This window comes from Homo sapiens, chromosome 2, assembly GCF_000001405.40.
Source record: "Homo sapiens chromosome 2, GRCh38.p14 Primary Assembly".
In the NCBI taxonomy this organism is placed as follows: domain Eukaryota; kingdom Metazoa; phylum Chordata; class Mammalia; order Primates; family Hominidae; genus Homo; species Homo sapiens.
In genome coordinates, this window is record NC_000002.12 from 195,631,669 (window position 1) to 195,651,894 (window position 20,226).

A 20,226-nucleotide genomic window follows, 5' to 3' on the forward strand; every position below is an offset into this window, starting at 1 on the left:
TTATAGATATACTGATCATTATAAAAGACAAAGCAACTAGATTATATTTATGATGTAGGGTGAAAATTTTCAGTAAATGCACAACTACTACTATATGTACCATCACTTATTATCTTTATAGCACAATTGCTATAGCTGCTTCATCTTACCATGACTGTAACTCTTTGTGTAACATAATATTTATTGCTGAGGCTCTTTGTTCAGGGAGTTTATTTTATTATTAATTTATTTATTTATTGAGACAGGATCTTGCTCTGTCATCCAGGCTGGAGTGCAGTGGCATGATCATGGCTCACTGCTGCCTCAACCTCCTGGGCTCAAGCAATCCTCCCACCTCAGCCTTCTGAGTAGCTGGGACTACAGGCATGTGCCACCATGCCTGGCCAATTTCTTTTTTTAAATTTTGTAAAGATGGGGTCTCACTATGTTGCCCAGGCTGGTCTCAAACTCTTGGACTCAAGTGATCCTCCCACCTCGGCCTCCCAAAGATCTGGGATTATAAGCATGAGCCACCACACCCATCATCATGCCCAGCCTGTTTTGTTATTCTTATCAAAGCTTTTTCTGTGAAATTTGAGTGGTAATGTCAAATACAAAGGTCACCAGCTCTCATTCTACTTCCTTTTTTTTTTTTTTTTTTTTTTTTTTTGAGACAGAGTCTCCCTCTGTTGCCCAGGCTGGAGTGCTGTGGTGCCATCTCGGCTCACTGCAACCTCCTCGTCCCGGGTTCAAGTGATTCTCCTGCCTCAGCCTCCTAAGTAGCTGGGACTACAGGCGCTTGCCACCACGCCTGGTTAATTTTGTATTTTTAGTAGAGACAGGGTTTCACTATGTTGGCCAGGCTGGTCTCAAACTCCTCAAACTCCTGACCTAAGGTGATCCACCTGCCTTGGCCTCCCAAACTGCTGGGATTACAGGCATGAGCCACCACACCTGGCTCTACTTCCTTTTAAACAATTGTAGTACTTGATCTACTGATGTGAATTACGATTCATGGTTTCATCCATTTCTCTTAGAGTCTAGACCCATTTCTACCCATGAAGTTGGTCTCTTCATCTGGTGATGAAAAGATAGCACTTATTTATTTTGAAACCTCTAAAATAATTCTGATGTGGTAATTTCTACTCATTTCAGAGTTCCTTTAAATTAAAATATGCAATTCAATGATATTTAATGTTTGAGTTTAAAACATCTTTGTCATTCAGTTTTAGAATTATTATACATTGGAGGAGCTGAAAGTTGATTGATAGAGATTGTTATTTTCCTAAAACCATCCTTTATAACGGGGACTAGATTCTCCTTGTAGAGATAGGAACTTGGATCTTGCAAGGCACAATTAGCTGTGAACCATTTCTGCTTTTCTGTGTGCTTTTCACACAGAGGGGAAATGGATAAGAGAGCTAAAAAAAATAATTTTTTCTATCAACAAGACCAGTTTTTTCTCTTCTATTTCTCTGATGTAATCATTTTGTCTTCTGAATCTCACAGTGAAACAGGAAATTTTCTCTGACCCCTTCATGGGCAGGAACTAGAGTGTGGGCACTAGAACTAGTCAGCCATTTCAGTGGTAGCAGCAAACTCCACTCCACTCAACTCAAACCTGTTGCATTGCGCTCAACCCCTCGTGGGAGGGAGCACGCAGGTGAGCGGTTGCAGGAGGCTAGGCTAGTGTTTTCAGCACCGGCAGGAGCAAAACTCCATGTGGGACCCGAGGCAGCGTCTAAGAGGGAATACCGATGACCCCTGAAGCCCCAGAAGAGTGGTACAGTGAGGCTCTTTTAGTTTTTGCCATCTGCAGACAGGCTCAGTGGGCCCTCTGCCTTTTTGTGTGAGATAGTTGCTCTCTGCCAGTGAGGGCAGAGGGTCTAGTGTGACAGCCTGCTGTATCCCGAGCTCTTGTCCAGCATCCAGGAAAAATCAGGTCACAGGAAAGAACTGAAGGATAGTAAATGTGGGAGGTTTTATTGCCAATGGAAGTGCCTCTCAGCGGGAAGAGGAGCTGGAAAGGGGATAGAGCAGGACAGTATTCTTCCCCTGAAGTCCGGCCATCTTTGCTGGACTCCACTCTGAAGTCCCGCTGTCGAGCTGTCCCTCTGAAGTCAAACTACTTCTCTCCAACATTCAGCTGCTTCTTCTCCTCTTGATGTTTAGCTGCTTCTGGGGTCTTTATAGACACAGGGTGGGGTGGGGTGAGGCCATGGGTGGGAAAACAGAGATATCAGTTCTCGCTTTAGGCCATGGTCTCAGGCTTTTCGGCTTGAGGGTGGGGCTTCGCCAGGGACCCTGCCCTTTTCTGCCTAGAATTTCTCTGCCTCCTGTCCCTATCAACAGTGTGATATATAAAGGTTAAAGAAGAAATTCAGATTCAAAATCTTCAAACTCACATGCAGGTATCAAAAGATAGAGCAACTTTATTTTGAAAAGAACTCTGCTGTAACCTGAAAATTTACAAACACAAATATGTTTTACTTATCTTACTAAAGACCACATCCCCAGCTTTGGTGGTAGAACACTGGTTGTGTTAACACAGAATAACGAATACTTTTCTATTGATCTACGTAATCTGATTCCATTTCCTGACGCTGGATATATGCCAAGGGTTTTGCTCCTAAACACCTGGTTACTTTCTGATCCTGATTACTATATAACAGAGGAATAATGCTTCATAGTCCTTGAATTTTTAGTGTTATATTCTCATCCCCTTAAGTGTTCTCATTATGTTTTTATTAAAATTTAATTTTTTCTCTTTTATTTGATTTGCCTTCATATAAGCCACCTGTTTTAGTTGTTCAACTTGATGTGCCTCCTTCCAGCTACTGTGCCTTGTTAAATGACTTGTAATAATTTTATTTTGCTTGCTGATTTCAGGGAGTTTAGAATGTATCAAACTCTGGTAATCAGGATTTTGGGTCTTTTGAATATTGATGTATTGACAGAAATGTAAGAATATGTATGAGTAAAGATGCTTTCAACTGTAAGGAACAAAAAATCCTTCTAAAAGTCACTTGATAAGGAAAATTTTTATCTCATATAATAAGAATTCTAGCGATAGGACAGTTTCAGTGTTGAGTAATTCAGTGGTTCAACATTGACCTCAGGCCAGGTGTGGTGGCTCATGCCTGTAATCCCAGCACTTTGGGAGGCTGAGGTGGGTGGATCACTTGAAGTCAGGAGTTCAAGACCTGCCAGGCCAACATGGTGCAACCCTGTCTCTATTAAAAATACAAAAATTAGCCAGGCATGATGGTGGGTACCTGTAATCCTAGCTACTCGGGAGGCTAAGGCAGAAGGATTGGTTGAACCTGGGAGGTGGAAGTTGCAGTGAGCTGAGATCGCACCACTGCTACTCCAGCCTGGGCAATAGAGCAAGACTTTGTCTCCAAAAAAAACAAAACAAAACAAAAAACAAAACAAAACAAAAGAACACTGACATCAATTTGCCCAGATGTTTTTCATTTTTCCACTTTCCCAAATTCAGTGTGTTGAGTGTGTTGTTTGTCCTCTTGGGCAGGTTATTTCTAGGCTTCCCATATAGATGCCAAAGGCAGAAAAGGGAAATTTGTTTTCACTTCCACGTATCTTGTTAAAAGAAGAACCTTTCCTGGAGGCCCCTCTGGGTTATGGCCAGACTTGTGTCATGTATCTATTCCAGAACTAATTGGTAAGTAAAATGGAATATCAATTGGCTTAATTCAGCAGTGGTCCATGGAACCTGGGAGCCCTGAGATCCTTTCAGGGAGTTCACAAGGTTAAAATCATTTACCCTAATAATGCTAAGATATTATTTGCCTTTTTCACTGCATTGATGGTGCAGAAGCAGCAGTAGTGGATAGCACTGCCAGTAGTTTAGCACAAATCAAAGAAGTGGCACATACTAGAAGCCGTCTTCTTCACAGGCACCATATAAAGTTTCATGTTTTGATTGTTTGCTTGCTTTCCTGGCACATGCTAAAGTGCTTTAGTTATCTCAAGTCACAGTATCCCTTAAGTAATTGAATTGTGAGCTGAAATGATTGCTTTTTTTGTGGAACCCCCCCCACTTTTTTTTTTTTTTACTTGAAAGACTGACAAAGAAAATATGGTTATGTAGACTTGAATGTTTTGCAGACATTTTCTTGAAAATTAAAAATGTGAGCCTGCCATTTCAAGGAAAACAAAAGGCAGATAATGAAAGGATTTGTCTGAGATTGGTGTTGATATTAACAAAAGTGATTTTTTTACATGGTATGATGAAATGTATTTGAAAGATCTGCATAACTCAGTGAACCAGTATGATCAATGCATGATACAAAATCACAGATGGGTTAAAAGATCCATTCAAAATGCATACTAGGCCAAAAGATCTAAGGGGAACAGAGTACAAAATTTCACTTATAGGTTTTCTGATTTCACTTTGTAATTAACCTTCAGCAAACTACCACTTTTTTGAGTTTTAATGTAGTATTAAAGAAGAATATTCAAACTTATCTGAGATAGCTATTAAAATATTTCTTCCTCTTTCAACAACATATTTGTATGAGACTCAATATACATTTCAGCCAAGACAACAGACTAATGCAGAAGCAGATATGAGAATCCATGTCTTCTATTAGGCCAGGCTTCTTGACATTTTTTTCTTACTTTGAAAACTATAGTTATTTTTCTGTAAAATATTGTTATATCATATGTAATTGGTTTATTTCCACATGAAATAGTAAGTATTTAAATTTTTTTTATTTTTAGTTTCTAAAATGGTAATTATTGATAGATGTGACTCACATAAACAAATGCACTTTGTAGTCCTCAATAGTTTTAAATAATTGGCCTGGCGCAGTGGCTCACGCCTGTAATCCCAGCACTTTGGGAGGCTGAGGCGGGTGGATCACAAGGTCAGGAGGTCGAGACCATCCTGGCTAACACGGTGAAACCCAGTCTCTACTAAAAAAACAAAAAAAATTAGTTGGGCGTGGTGGCGGGTGCCTGTAGTCCCAGCTACTCAGGAGGCTGAGGCAGGAGAATGGCTTGAACCTGGGAGGCGGAGCTTGCAGTGAGCCTAGATCGCGCCACTGCACTCCAGCCTGGGCGACAGAGCAAGACTCTGTCTAAAGAAAAAAAATTAAAAAGTTTTAAATAATCCCAGCACTTTGGGAGGCCAAGGTGGGAGGATCGTTTGAGCCCAGGAGTTCAAGACCAGCCTAGGCAACATGGAGAAACCCCATCTCCATAAAAAATTAAAAAAAATATTTTTGAAGAGTATAAAAGGGCCCTGAAACCAGAAATTTGAGAACCATTTGGTTTAGACTAATAAAATATTTACCATTTGGGGCTTGGTTTTGGCCTCCCCTATGTACCTAATTCCCTCTAGTCTCAACTAAAAGCAGGATATTATTAACAAAGAAAAAGGGGAGGGAGTTGCTAATGGCTTGATGAGTCAGCAATGGTCTGCCACAGTTAAGGTGAATGAGAATTGTTCCAGTGGCATGTGGCAGTCAGCAAGCTGTAACCTCTTGGAAAATGTTGAGAAAAGATTATCATGTCTCAGGGACAGAGGCCTCACACTGCAATGCTCCTGGGCTGCCAAATTTTAGGGGAAAGCTTTCTCCATAAGCTGCATGTAGAAAGTGGACAGAGGCAGTTAGTTGGGGGATCAACTTGAGTCTCTGGCCTGCCTGTCAGAAACAAATGGCGGTCTTTGCCCCACATGAGAGGTATTTTGGTTCTTTCCCAGGGAACACAAAATATCTCATATATTTATCTCATACCAGGACTGTAGGGGTTCACTCAGCTTTACTGGGGCTCACTTCCAGGTTCTACAGTCAGCCAAGGCTGTTTTGAATGATGGATTAGTAATTATGCAAGAAAATGAATGCAGTGACAGTAAAGGGAGCAGGTAGAAATACAGTCAAACAATATTTGTATGAGATCAGAGAATAATGGTGGTCAAGAAAACAGTAATGGGTATATGTACAGCTCCTGTTGGAAGAATAGAGAAGTTATAATGCTCATTCTTAACCATAATTGAGGCACAACAGGAGCCAGAGGATTCAGGTTTTAAACAAGGGTTTCTTCTTTGGACATGTTGAGTTTAACATCCCTGAAGGTCTGCGTAGGTAGAAATGTCCACCAGGTAGTTGGAACTATGATTTGACCTTTAAAAAAGATTGAGCTTAGAGTCTCGGAAAGTGCAACATAAAGGCCATAGTCGAAGCTGCTGGAGTTGAGATTTCTTTCCCCATGTGAGATAATATGAAGTGATAAGACAAGTTAGTTAAAGTTAGGAACTTAGGAAATACCACTTAAGAGATGGGAAGAAGAACAATCCTGTATTGGAGACTAGAAAAGGTATTAGGAAGGAAGAGATCCTAGAGAAGATATTATCAAAGATGCTAAAGAAGAGAGCTCCCATAAGGAGATTGTTCTCAGTACAGTACAGGATGAAGACTGTGAAAAGTCAGTAAAATTTGCCAAGTAAGAGGTCAACAATAATTTTATTTATTTATTTTATCTACCAATTTTTTATAAATAAATAGAGACGGGACCTTGCTATGTTGTCCAGGCTGATCTCAAACTCCTGGACTCAAGCCATCCTCCTGCCTCAGCCTCCCAAAGTGCTAGGATTACAGGTATGAACTATTGTGCCCAGCCTCAAAAATAACTTTAAAAAATAAATAAGCTACTTTTTTAAACTTTTTTTTTAGTTTGTTTTTGTTTTGAGACAGTCTCACTCTGTCGCCCAGGCTGGAGTGCAGTGATGCAATCTGGGCTCACTGCAGCCTCCACCTCCCAGGTTCAAGCGATTCTCCTGCCTTAGCCTCCCGAGTAGCTGAGACTACAGGCACCTGCCACCACACTCGGCTAATTTTTGTATTTTTTTTTAGTAGAGATGGGGTTTCACCATGTTGGCCAGGCTGGTCTCGAACTCCTGACCTCAAGTGATCCACCCACCTCGGCCTCCCAAAGTGCTGGGATTACAGGCATGAGCCACCGCACCCAGCCTAAAACGGTTTTAAATTTACAGAAACATTGCAAAGATAGTACAGAGAGTTTCTATATACCCCCCATCCAGTTTGTCTTATTATTACCATTTTCTGTTCGTGTATTTGTTACAATTATGAACCAATATTGATATACGTTTATTAACTAAAGACTGTAGTTTATTCAGATTTTATTAGTTTTTATCAAAGGTCATTTTTCCATCCTAGAATCATATCTAAGTTACATTATATTTAGTCATTATGAGTCCCTAGTCTCCTCTTGCTTGTGACAGTTTCTCAAATTTTTCTTGTTTTTTGATGACCTTGGCAGTTTTTTTTTTTGTTTTTGTTTTTGAGACAGGGTCATGCTGGTGCCCCGGCTGGAGTGCAGTGGAACCATCGTAGCTCACTATGACCTCTAACTCCTGGGCTCAAGTGATCCTCCTGCCTCTGCCTCCTATGTAGCTGGGACTACAGGCACACACCACCATGCTTGGCGAATTTTCAGATTTGTAAAGATAAGTCTTGCTATGTTGCCCAGGCTGGTGGTGAACTTCTGGCTTCAAGCGATCCTCCCACCTTGGCCTCCCAAAGTGTTGGGATTACAAGCGTGAGCCACTGTATCTGACTGACCTTGACAGTTTAAGGAGGTACTGGTCAGGTATTTTGCAGAATGTCCCTGATGTTTTTCTCATGATCAGACTGGGGTTAAGAGTTTTGAGGAGGAAGACCACAGGGGTAAACTGCCATTTTCATCACATTGTATCAGAGCTATCTCCTAGCAACATGATTTATCATTGTTGATGTTGACCTTGATCTTTTGGCTGAGTTAGCATTTGTCAGGTTTTTCCACTTTAAAGTTACTCTTTTTCCCCATTTCTAGACTGTACTTTTTCAAAGGAAGTCACTATGGATAGCCCACATTTAATGAGTGGGAAGTTATGCTCTGAATTCTTATATTTATTTTATTTGATTTTTTTGAGATGGAGTTTCGCTTTGTCACCCAGGCTGGAGTGCAGTGACGCAATCTCTGCTAACTGCAACCTTCACCTCCTGGGTTCCAGCAATTCTCAACCTCCCGAGTAGCTGGGATTACAGGCGAGTGCCACCACACCCGGCTAATTTTTGCATTTTTAATACAGACGGGTTTCGCCATATTGCCCAAGCTGGTCTTGAACTCCTGACCACCTGGCTCAGCCTCCCAAAGCACTGGGATTACAGGCATAAGCCACAGTGCCCAACTGCTCTTAATACTTACAGATGGAAAATCCACATAAATTATTTGGAATTCTTCTGCAGGAGATATTTGTTCTCTGCCATTGTTAATTAATTAATTAGTTAATTTTTATCAGTGTAGAGTCATGGATATTTGTTTTATAGTTTGGATTATAATCCAAAACTGTTTATTTTGTTGCTCAAATTTCTCAGATTTGCCTTTTGGGAGCTGTTTCAATTGGCTCCTGTGACTCTTTCACATACCCTCATTCAATGATGACTCTTGGGAGAGCAATTTCACCAGAGTGGTAAACACAGCATAACAGTACGTTGAGAAGTAAATAAGTGTTGAAGAAGTGGAAGCACAAAGGCAGTTAAGTAGCACCTTAAATCAGGGTGAGGCTTAATATTTGTCTTTATAAGTCCTTAAGACATTTTAATCTCATAAAACACAGGTAGATGAAAGCCCTGCCTATGCCATGAAAAGCCCTGAAGCATTAAAAGAAAAAAAAAAAAAAAACCTTAAAAATCCCAGAGTGATCAAATTGGATGAACACCGAGGACACCACTAAAAATTTATATCTGATGAGGTTGAGCCAAAGAAAAAAGAAAATAGTTACTGTTTGTTCTTATGGCTTTAATATTTGGCATACACTAGTTTTTTTTTAAACAGGGAGTAATGTAAACGTTAATTATAATGTGAGTATGCCAGAATATTTGATGTACTTAAAGCTTCCCTATGAATGCCAACAGTGCAGGATTATAGAGAAAATGATTTGATTTTAGGTCTCATTTAAATTCCTGCAAAGACTTGATCTTCAGAAATGCTATAAAAATGTTTTCCAATGAATAGGTAATTTTTCTCACAGTGAATGTCTTCTAGCAGTAAAGCAATTTTAAAATATTTAGAACACAAAAGTTGTGTTCATTTTGTTCTCTGATCATTTCCTCAAATTAACTGATGAAGTTTTAAAATTTAACTGGGGGCAAAAAAAGCGAGAGAGAGTTGGGGTGTTGCTTGATAGGGTGTCGACAGGTTAAGGATAAAGAGAAAATATTAATTTATAACTCCTCCCACACACACTATTATCAGCAATGGTTCATGTGTTGGGTCCAGGGAAGCCATTTCCAGCAGCCATTCTAGTAGTATTCAGTCAGTACCCACTTTGCACCAAGCAATGTGCCAGATGCTGAAGATAGTACATTGAACAAGGAACAGTCCCTGCTCTCAAGGAATCGGTGAGTATAGGAGACATCCTGGTGCAGGGAGCGGGAGATAAGTGGGCCACAAATGTAGCACAGTGCAAACCTTGTGCTGTGGTGGAAGATACATGTGTAAGTGTATAGGAGGACACCTAACCCAGAGAGGGACAGGCAAGTTTATAGTGATTTATAAACTGAATCCTGAAGGACAAATAGGAAGTAATCAGAGGGTGCAAGGGGAAGGGGTGCCGAGGAGATGAGGCACTTTAAGCAAGGAAAAGCATGACAGCTGAGGAAGTAACAAGTCTTTCAGTATGGCTGGATTGTAGAGTTTTAGAGTTGCATTGTTCAATAACAGTGTAATGTGAACCACATGCAATTTAAAAATTTTTAGTAGTCACATTAAGAAAGTAAAATGAGTCAACAGAAATTTTAATAATATTCTTATTTAGCCCAATGTACTTAAAATGTTAGCATGTAATCAATATGAAAAATTATTAATGGGACTTTTTATATTCTTTGTACTAAGTTTTAGAAATCCAACGTATGTTTTATACTTATATCACATGTCAATTTAGACTAGCCAGATTTCATGTGCTCAATAGCTACATGTGACTAGTGTCTACCACATTAGATAGTATAGTTCTTTTTTTTTTTTTTTTTTGAGTTGGAGTCTCGCTCTGGGAGTCTTGCCCAGGCTGGAGTGCAGTGGTGCAATCTCTGCTCACTGCAACCTCCGCCTCCCAGGTTCAAGTGATTCTCCTGTCTCAGCCTCCCAAGTAGCTGAGATTACAGACGTGCACCACCACACCTGGCTAATGTTTTTATTTTTAGTAGAGACGGGTTTTCACCATGTTGACCAGCCTGGTTTTGAACTCCTGACCTCAGATGGTCCACCCACCTTGGCCTCCCAAAGTGCTGGGATTACAAGTGTGAGCCACTGTGCCTGGCCTGATAGTATAGTTCTAGTGTGAAGTCACGAGCAATTAATCTGCAGAGATAATATGGGAGCAGATTAGGGCAGATATTGTTTGTCAGCGAAATTGTTTAACCCGAGGGTTATGGGAAGCTGTGAAAGGTCTATGCATGGGAGGACCTGATCAAATTAGTGATGACTCTAACTTTCACGGTGGAGAATGGATTATAGGTGGACTTGATCAGAAGCCAACTAGGCCATAGATGATAATAACCTTAACCAGCGGAGTAACTTGGGTGTGGTGAGAAGTAGAATATGGACACAAGGCATCTGTAAGAATTGTAAGGAATCTGTAACAGAATTGTAAGAGAATTGTAACTGTAAGAGAATCTGTAAGGATTGGAAGTGTGTTGAGAAGACAGGAATGCCCCCTCACTTCTGCTTTCTCCCTCAAACCCCTGAGGAACACAGCAGAACCATTTTAAGGATTGGGGGAAACAAGAGGAAGAATGGCAGGATTGAGAAACAATGTGTTCTGCTTGGGACATTTTAAATTATCCAAGCGTAACATTTGCATGTGAAACAGAGAAGTCCATGTCACCAGTATACAGACAGTAACCAAAGCCCTGGGATTGGATAAAATTACCCAGGATGAGTAGATTAAACAGTATTTCTCATACCTGAATTAAAAACAAAAAGTACCTGGGAGCTGATTTAAAATGCAGATTTTTGGCTTTATCCCCAAGTTACTGGTTCAGTAGCTGTTGGGAGAGGGCTAGAAATTGCGTTTTTAATAAGAGCCCCTAGGAACTGATGCAAGTGGTGCTTAAAACACTCCTTTACACACACTAGAGTAGAATAATATATAAGAGGACCCAGAAGGAGATTGCCTGTGTGTATGGAAGGTTAGAGAACAAAAGCCCTTGAAGCAGCTAGGAAATGAGCCACTAGAGAGGTTAATGAAAAACCAAAAGTCCTGTCTGCTATTAAAGTAGAGGGGAGTGGCAGATTCTTATTTAAAGGGAACAAGACTGAAGGTGGGACAACTAGGTAGGTACCTTACTTGGTGGGACAATCAGCATGGGAAAAAAGCACTATTCTTTGCTTACTGTTCAAGGTGTCTGTCCTGGGGATGTCACCTCACCATACCACCAAATTTATCAAATTCCTTGAGGATTTGGAGGAAGTCACTGCCTCAAAGTAACAGAGAAAGTAAATAGAGTACCAGTTGAAAGTGACAATTGGATTTAGTAACTAAGGCCATTGGGTGGCAATTTGGATGACCTAGCAGGAATGGAAGCCCAGCTGCAATAGATGAGTTGAACAAGTGGGTCAAATTAGTGTAGAAAAGTCTTCTTGGCAGAGAAAAGGAGGAGAGAGAAGGCAGAGTGCATACAAGGATGTTCACTTAGGAAATGCTAAGGGATGTGTGCCCTTCTTTCACAGTATTCATCCTATTTCATTTCTATTCTGTAGGTTGAGTCAATACTGTGAAACCACAGAATCTCTGTCTCTGCTTCATAAATATACTCATTAAATAATTTATGTTTATATATTTAAATCAGTCAAATGATCTCCAGTCATACTGTCACTTCTACTAGTAATTGAATGGATAAACCATTTTGCAGAATAACTATAGCTGATTACTGATGGCTTGAAAGAAGTGCCAAGCTGCAGTAGTTTGGGGTTGGATGAGGGAGATGAGAAAGGAGGAGAAACTGGAACCTTGAATCTGAATTTCTCAGTCTCCTTCTTACCTGTCCTCTACTGCCCAATAATCTTAGCCCCAAACTGGTAAAATTCTACCATCATTCAACCATGGGTAGCCCACAAATAAGTTGATGTATCTCTGCTAAATAAGAGGTTGTCAGAACTTCATTGTTACAGTAGTTTTGTATTTGCTGTTTCCTCCTTTCTACCCAACATCATCCCCATTACCTGGTTAATCTAGAATTGGCTGATTATCAGCCACCAAACTTGTTAGTTAACATTGTTAACACCACACATTGTTGAGTACCAGCTTAGATATTGCACATATGCAGTAAATATTTAAAAGATGTGTTTTGCTTTCAACATGAATGTGGAGTGCTACAAAGTATCAAAACAAATAAAAGGAGATATAAACAGGCGTATTAGAGCTTCAGTTCTAAACAGAGTTGAACATTTAATTAGGTTAAATGTACATTCATTTTTTTTTTTTTTTTTAATTTCCTTCCAAGAGGATGGATTCGTTTTGGAATGGAGCCAATTAATTTGAAAATCTGGGTTTGGTGGCTCACGCCTGTGATCCCAGCACTTTGGGAGGCCGAAGTGGGAGGATTGCTTGAGCTCAGGAGTTCAGTACCAGCCTGAACAACATAGCAAGACCCTGTCTCAAATAAATTTTTTTTTTTTTTTTTTTTTTGAGACGGAGTCTCGCTCTGTTGCCCAGGCTGGAGTGCAGTGGCACGATCTCGGCTCACTGCAACCTCTGCTTCCCGGGTTCAAGCGATTCTCCTGCCTCAGTCTCTTGAGTAGCTGGGATTACAGGCATGCACCACCACACCCGGCTAATTTTTGTATTTTTAGTAGAGACGGGGTTTCACCATGTTGGTCAGGCTGGTCTTGAACTCCTGACCTTGTGATCCGCCCGCTTCGGCCTCCCAAAGTGTTGGGATTACAGGCATGAGCCACAGGCCCCTCAACTAAAAAATTAAAAAAATAGCTGCGTGTGGTGACACTGACCTGTAGTCCCAGCTATTCAGGAGGCTGAGGTGGAAGGATCACTTGACCCCAGGAGGTCATGGCTGCACTGAGCTTTATCACGCCACTGCACTCTAGCCTGGGTAACAGAGAGACATCCTGTCTCAAAAAAAAAAAGGAAAACAAAAGAAAATCACATTTGTATTATGTTCAAGTTTTGCCCAGTTGCCTCACCCATGACCAATCTAACTACTTTATTTATTTATTTATTTATTTATTTATTTATTTAGAGGCAGAGTTTCACTCTTGTTGCCCAGGCTGGAGTGCAATGGCGTGATCTCGGCTCACCGCAACCTCTGCCTCCCAGGTTCAAGCGATTCTCCTGCCTCAGCCGCCCTAGTAGCTAGGATTACAGGCATGTGCCACCACGCCCGGCTAATTTTGTATTTTTAGTAGAGACGTGGTTTCTCCATGTTGGTCAGGCTGGTCTCGAACTTCCGACCTCAGGTGATCCGCCTGCCTCGGCCTCCCAAAGTGCTGGGATTATAGGCATGAGCCACCGCGCCTGGCCATCTAACTACTTTATTTAAAAAAAAAAAAATGAGTGCTGGGCAGAGGTATAACAGCATCATACTGGCTAATGTCATTGCCTATACATTTTGGTAATCTCAAAACTGTTCCAGCTACAAAGCTACTGCTTGTACTTGAAATTCCTATTTAAAATATAGGGAGAGTATTACAAACTAATTCTGGAAACTTATTCTCAAAATTACATTGAAAAATTCTAGGTTTATAAAATCATTTACGTACTATAATATGGTTCAATTCCTTGAGCATTATAGACATTAGATAGTATATTTGTTTAATTTGTATTTATTGCAGTGCTTGATTTTTTACTTTCATTTTTCCAAACAGAAACGCTACCAATTAAACATTAACTTCCCATTCCCCATTTCTTTCTACCCAACCCTCTGGTAACCTCTATTCTACTTTCTTGTCTCTATAAATTTTCCTATTCTAAATACCTCATAGAAGTGAAATCATATAATGTCTGTGTTTTTGTGTCTGGCTTATTTCACTTAGCATAGTGTTTTTAAGGTTAATTCATGTTGTAGCATGTATTTCTATTTGAATTCCAAAGCTAATGTTAATGTATTACCTTGATCAAAAAAATAAAAATTAAAATAAACAATATCCTGCAAAGTATTGATCATTCTACAGGTACTGAAAATGAAGCTTAATGATCACGTTAAAGCCACAGGAAATAAGTTAGAAGAGATGGTGTTCAGATTTGATTCTATCTTTTTTTCTTTGTTTGTTTTTGAGATGGGGTCTCACTCTGTGTCAAAAAAAAGGCTGGAGTGCAGTGGCACAATCACAGCTCACTGCAGCCTTGACCTCCAGGCTCAAGCGATCTTCCCACCTCAGCTCCTGAGTAGCTGGGACTACAAGCGTGCACCACCATGCCTGGCTAATTTTTGAATTTTTTGTAGAGATGGGATTTTGCCGTGTTGCCCAGGCTGGTCTTGAACTCCTGGCCTCAAGCGATCCGCCCACCTCAGCCTCCCAAAGTGTTGGGATTACAGATGTGAGCCAGCACACTCAACAATTCTTTTTATTTTATTTTTTTATTTACTTAAGCGTACCCTGATGTGCCCAGCAATTCTATCTTCTTGAAACTTCTGCAGTTCAACAATTTCTCTTTATCCACTGTCACTTCTCACATGGGTTGTCCCTATCACAGTTTCCTAATTGTTTTAATTTCCTATTGCTGCTATAACACATTACCACATATGTGGTGGCTTCAAACAATACAAATTTGTTATGCAGCTCTGTAGGTCTGACACGAATTTCACTGAGCCAAAACCAGGGTGTCAGCAGGGCCACGTTTCTTCTGGAGGCTCTAAGGAGGAATCCATTTCCTGTTTTTCTAGCTTTAGAGGCTACCCACATTCCTTAGTTCAGGGGTCCTCACCCCCCACCCACCTCCCCCCACCACCAACCCCCTACAGACCCGGTAAGGCCGGTAGGGCCTTTTAGGAACACTGCTGCACAGCAGGAGGTGAGCGGAGGGTGAGCGAGCATTACCGCCTGAGCTTTGCCTCCTATCAGATAAGCAGCAGCATTAAATTCTCATGGGAGCACGAACCCTATGGTGAACCGTGCCTGTGAGGGATCTAGGTTGCACACTGCTTATGAGAATCTAATGCCTGATCATCTCAGGTGGAGCAGTTTCATCCCGAAGCCATCCCCCTGCCATCTGTGGAAAAAGTGTCTTCTAGGAGACTGGTCCCTGGCGCCAAAAAGGTTGGGGGACTGCTGCCTTAGCTTGTGGCTCCCTTTATTCAGCATCATTTTATCTCTCTGAGTGTCATTTCTCTTTATCTTCCTCTGACTCTCCTCTTCTTCCCTCTTCCATTTTTAGAGTCTCTTATGATTAAATCGGGCCCATTTGGATAATTGAAACTAATTTGTTCATTTCGAGGTCAGTTGGTTAGCAACTTTAATTCCATCTCCAGCCTTTGTACCCTTTGCCATGTAATCTACATGTTCATAGGATCCAGGGATTAGCATGTGGATGTCTTTATGGGGGAGGCATTATTCTGTCTACCACCCTAGTCGTATGATAATATGATTTCCCTTCTTGCCCATGATCACGTCACTTGCCCACCGAAAATTCTTCAATGGCCCTTGTTGCCCTCAGGGTAGCATTCAGACTCATTCAGGCTCCTTAATGTGATACACAAAGGCCTTCCTTACCAGTCCTGTCTCATCTCTCCCAACTCCCCATGCCCAAAACACACAACAAGATTGTGTGTTTCACTTCCCCAAACTGAAAACCAGGCATTCACTCATCTCATTCATCTGCTTGTTTGCTCTTTTCCCAGCCTTTTATCTGACTCTACTACTCATCCATAAGTCAGACTTCAGATGTGACTTCCTTTGGGAAGCCTGAGTGTATCCCCAAATTTTGGCCTTTGCTACCGTTGCAAGCTATACCTATATCTAACATAGCACTTGCCATGCGATACTGTAATTATCTCTTTAATTACCATCCACCACCACCACCACCACCACCACCACGAGACTACAGGCAACTTAAGGGTCAGCCTCTCATTTGTTCACCCTTGTATCAGTTACTTATCAGAGTGGCTTGCACACAATAAAAACACAAACTTTCTATTTTTTAAAGCAACCCTATTAACTGAGAAGCACAAACTTTTGCTTAAAGATATATCCCTTAATATTTATGTGTCTCTTTTTCCAAGACAGACTTATAGAGGATGTAGAGTCATATAAATCTAAGGACTGAAAAGTAAATGTACCTTTAATCCTCCAAATGGATTTCATTTAATTAATGAATTAATTTACTGAGGCAAGGTCCCACTCTGTCACCCAGGCTAGAATGCAGTGACAAAATCATGGCTCACTGCAGCCTCCACCTCCTGGGCTCCAGTGATCCTCTTGCTTCACCCTCCCGAGTAGCTGGGACCACAGGTGTGTGACACCATGCCCATCTAATTTTTAAAACAATTTTTTTGTACAGAAGAGGTCTCGCTATGTTGTCCAGACTGGTCTTGAACTCCTGGGCTCAAGCGATCCTCCCATCTTGGCCTCCGCCTATGCTGGAATTATAGGTGAGCTACTGAACTCGGCCCTTATCTGGCTTCTTATATCAAGACTGTGCACAGGTCACTATTTTTGCAAGAATTTCTATACCACTTCCTCTGAAAATGTTGGTAATTTAAAAAAGAAACAGCCAGACATGGTGGCTCACACCTGTAATTCCAACACTTTGGGAGATGGAGGTCGGCCAATTGCTTGAGCCCAGGAGTTCAAGACCAGTCTGGGCAACATGATGAAACTGTGTCTCTACAAAAAATTCAAAAATTAGCCAGGCATGGTGGTGCATGCCTGTGGTCCCAGCTACTCAGGAGGCTGAGGTGGGAGGATCACTTGAGTTTGGGAGGTCGAGGCTGCAGTGAGCCAAGAGATAGTGACACTGTATACTCCAGCCTGGGCAACAGAGCTAGACCCTATCTCAAAAAAACAAAAATAAAAATAGGTTGGATAATGTAAGAGTTAAGAACAGAGACTCTAGAGCCAGCCTGGGATCCTGGCTCTGCCATATTTTATGTAACCATCTCAGTTTTCTTCATTTGTGAAATAGACACAGTAATATCCACCTCAGAGGGTTACTGTAGAATTAAATGAGTTCCATTTAGAGCATTTAAATGGTGCCTGGCACATTTTAAATAATACCGCTTCATGTGGTTAGGGTGGGAAGGAAGATTGTAAAACATAAATGCTTAGAGAAAGCAACTGTCGTTGTAATTAAAATGAAACTTGGGTGTGATGAAATCATTGGAGGCTGTAGGTGAGATCATCTATGAGAAAGAAAAAGCCAAGCATGATGGGTCGCTAACCACCGGGCACTGCCAGAAGCATTTCTCATGAAACATTAGGAAGTTTCCAAATCTTCTCTAAAGACGTGTGCTTGAAAAAACAAAACAAAAAAAGAATGACAACAACAACAAAAAGATATGTGCTGGAAAGAAGAGATGGGATTCTATGAAGAATGTGAAAGTGGCTTATTGTATGAAATACAAAATATAATCCAAGCTTTACCTAGAAATAGTACAAGAAAAATTCAGAAATCCCTGCAAGCTATTCTTGTTTTGACAATTCATTTCTTGCCTTCCCTAATATTTAGAATTTTGCTGCATTGTTGCCATCAAATATTTTTTAAGAAATAAAGGTAAGCAGTATTTGCTAAGACAGAACACGTGTGTCTTGATTTTAGAAGATGTACTTGATTATTTTCATAAATGTCAGGTGTGAAATGGGTCACCTTATTAATTAAAGCCTTAGGCAAAATTTGAAATTTGATCTTATGTGATGACATTTTAAAATGGATGTATTAATTTCAACCAGTTTAACAAATGAGCCTTTTTAAAAAAATTTACGTGGTAACTTATTGTTAATTCATTTCCATGTTGACAGTTTTCCTTAAATTGAAGTGTAATCACCCACAAATACTTTTGAAGTTTGCCATATTCATGTGGATATTTATGCCACTTTTTTCTAATTCCTTTGGACTAGGAGTTATGTTCTGAAAAGTCAATTTCTGCTGTGCCAGTAGAGTTGCAAACGACCTAAAATGGCTACCTACCACACCTGTTTTTCTTCATCTTACTACTCTGTGAGTGAATGAGCTTGCCTGGAAGCAAGATTGAGAAGTTAGCAATTTGTCTACAGTTTTTCTTCTTTCCCTTTGTACCACACTACCCTCAAGAATCTAGACAACCGTGTTTTCTCTTTTCTTAGAACTTCCTCTTTAGAAAAAACCTAAGGAAAATATATTCTCACGGAGGTATAAATAGGTAATACAACTGTAGCAATTTCCCTCCAAGTTCTTCCGGTTTCAAGGCCCAGGGATGAAATGCTAACTGTGTAATTGTAGGAATTGGCAAGTACACTAAAAATACAAAAAATTAGCCGGGCATGGTGGTGGGCAGCTGTAGTCCCAGCTACTCAGGCGGCTGAGGTGGGAAAATGGCATGAACCCGGGAGGCGGAGCTTGCAGTGAGCCGAGATCCCACCACTGCACTCCAGCCTGGGCGACAGAGATGGACTCCTCCTCCAAAAAAAAAAAAAAAAGAAAAGAAAAAAATTGGTTTAGGGTGAGAAGTCTTCATGGCACTATGACGTGGGCAAATGTGTGGTCAACGTGTTAGTCTGGCTCTGGCTCTGAGTTTTTTGCTTTTGTTCATTCTTCTGAGTAGGTCTTTCTCTTTCTCTTGAGCCTGGTCTCATCTGTATTTTCGAAAGGACTTGCCATGGTCAATCAGAGGCTTTAAGCTTCTCTGTTATTGTCTGTCTTCCAGGAGAGATGCCTAATGCTAACACCTTTTATTTGTATTGCCATGGCAATACAAACCCTTAAACTAAGGGTTCTGGTTATTCTTAGGTTAGGATCATGTAGGCAGATCATAAAAAAGTTAATTTTTCTCCCCTGGGTGAGAAGTTGCTTAAATTTTTGTGTCAATTGTTTCATTTCTCCAATCTATTTTTGTCTCTGCAAATAGCCTGAAACTCGGTTTTATTGCACAAGCCTACCAATTCAGAATGATCTCAGGCGCATCAGACAAGTTTGTCCCTCACCAGAGTTGTATTGGTTTATTTCTCCCTGCCTTCGTGTGCCCATCTCAAAATGGTGGGGTCTGTGGAAGAGGATGGCCTTCCCAGATATGCAATTTTTGCTCTTTAGAAAGGAGTTTAAAAAAAAAAAAAATCCCAGCTACTGTGGGTGGGGAAGGCGAAGGAGGTGGGAGGTGGAAGGATTTTGCTTGAGCCTGGGAGGTTGAGTCTGCAGTGAGCTGTGATTGCACCACTGCACTCCAGCCTGGGAGACAGAATGAGACCCCGTCTCAAAAAAAATGTTTTTTTTTTTTTATTTAGAAAGGAGTATAAGGGGAGCTGTGCTCCTCTAGTGAGAACTCCCATGGACTTCTAAAGGCCCATTTATCCTACCTTAGTCTTTAGAGCTTGCCAAAAATGAGATGGTAGAGCCATAATTTCTCAGGGATCAGAAAAAGACTACCGCATGGGTCCAACTTCCCCATTCTGACAGTGTGTTTGCCGTGTTAGATGTTACACAGTGCCACAGGTCTCGAATAATGGAAATAATTTGTATCCTTTAAATATCTCTGGCATCAGTTTTAGAGCTGGAGCTTCAATCCCCAGGCTGAAATAGTCTCTAAAAATGAATAGTAGCTATTAAGTTTGAGGCCTCAGTTTGGAATTTTACCTACATATTGCTGACATCTTCCTTTCCCAAATCTCTTTTTTTTTGAGACAGAGTCTTGCCATGTCACCCAGGCTGGAAAGCAGGGGCATGATCTCGGCTCACTGCAACCTCCATCTCCCAGGATCAAGCGATTCTCCTGCTTCAGCCTCCCAAGTAGCTAGGATTGCAGGCGCTTGCCATCACATCCAGCTAATTTTTGTATTTTTAGTAGAGATGGGTTTTCATCATGTTGGCCAGGCTGGTCTTGAACTCCTGACCTCAAGTGATCCACCCGCTTTGGCCTCCCAAAGTGCTGGGATTACAGGTGTGAGCCACTGCCCATGGCCCCCTTTTCCAAATCTTAACACCTGTTCTGGTACTTAATATCCCCACACCCCACCACATTGGTACAGCAATATAATTTAGTCTTCCTTGTACTCCTAATGACTTCATCAATGAAAAGAGTC

At 40.9% G+C, this 20,226-nt stretch overlaps 1 protein-coding gene across 1 annotated transcript in view, besides 1 other annotated feature; it reads left to right on the forward strand.

Annotated features, from left to right (window-relative positions):
- SLC39A10 (solute carrier family 39 member 10) overlaps positions 1-20,226 on the forward strand; it is a 124,672-nt gene that overhangs the window by 18,640 nt on the left and 85,806 nt on the right. The window lies entirely within an intron of this gene.
- Positions 18,615-18,694: an enhancer, noted in NCBI's record as "active region_16889". NCBI's record gives its function as "activates an Ori minimal core promoter by ATAC-STARR-seq in GM12878 lymphoblastoid cells {active_cell/tissue: GM12878}" and the evidence as "EXISTENCE:reporter gene assay evidence [ECO:0000049][PMID:35858748]".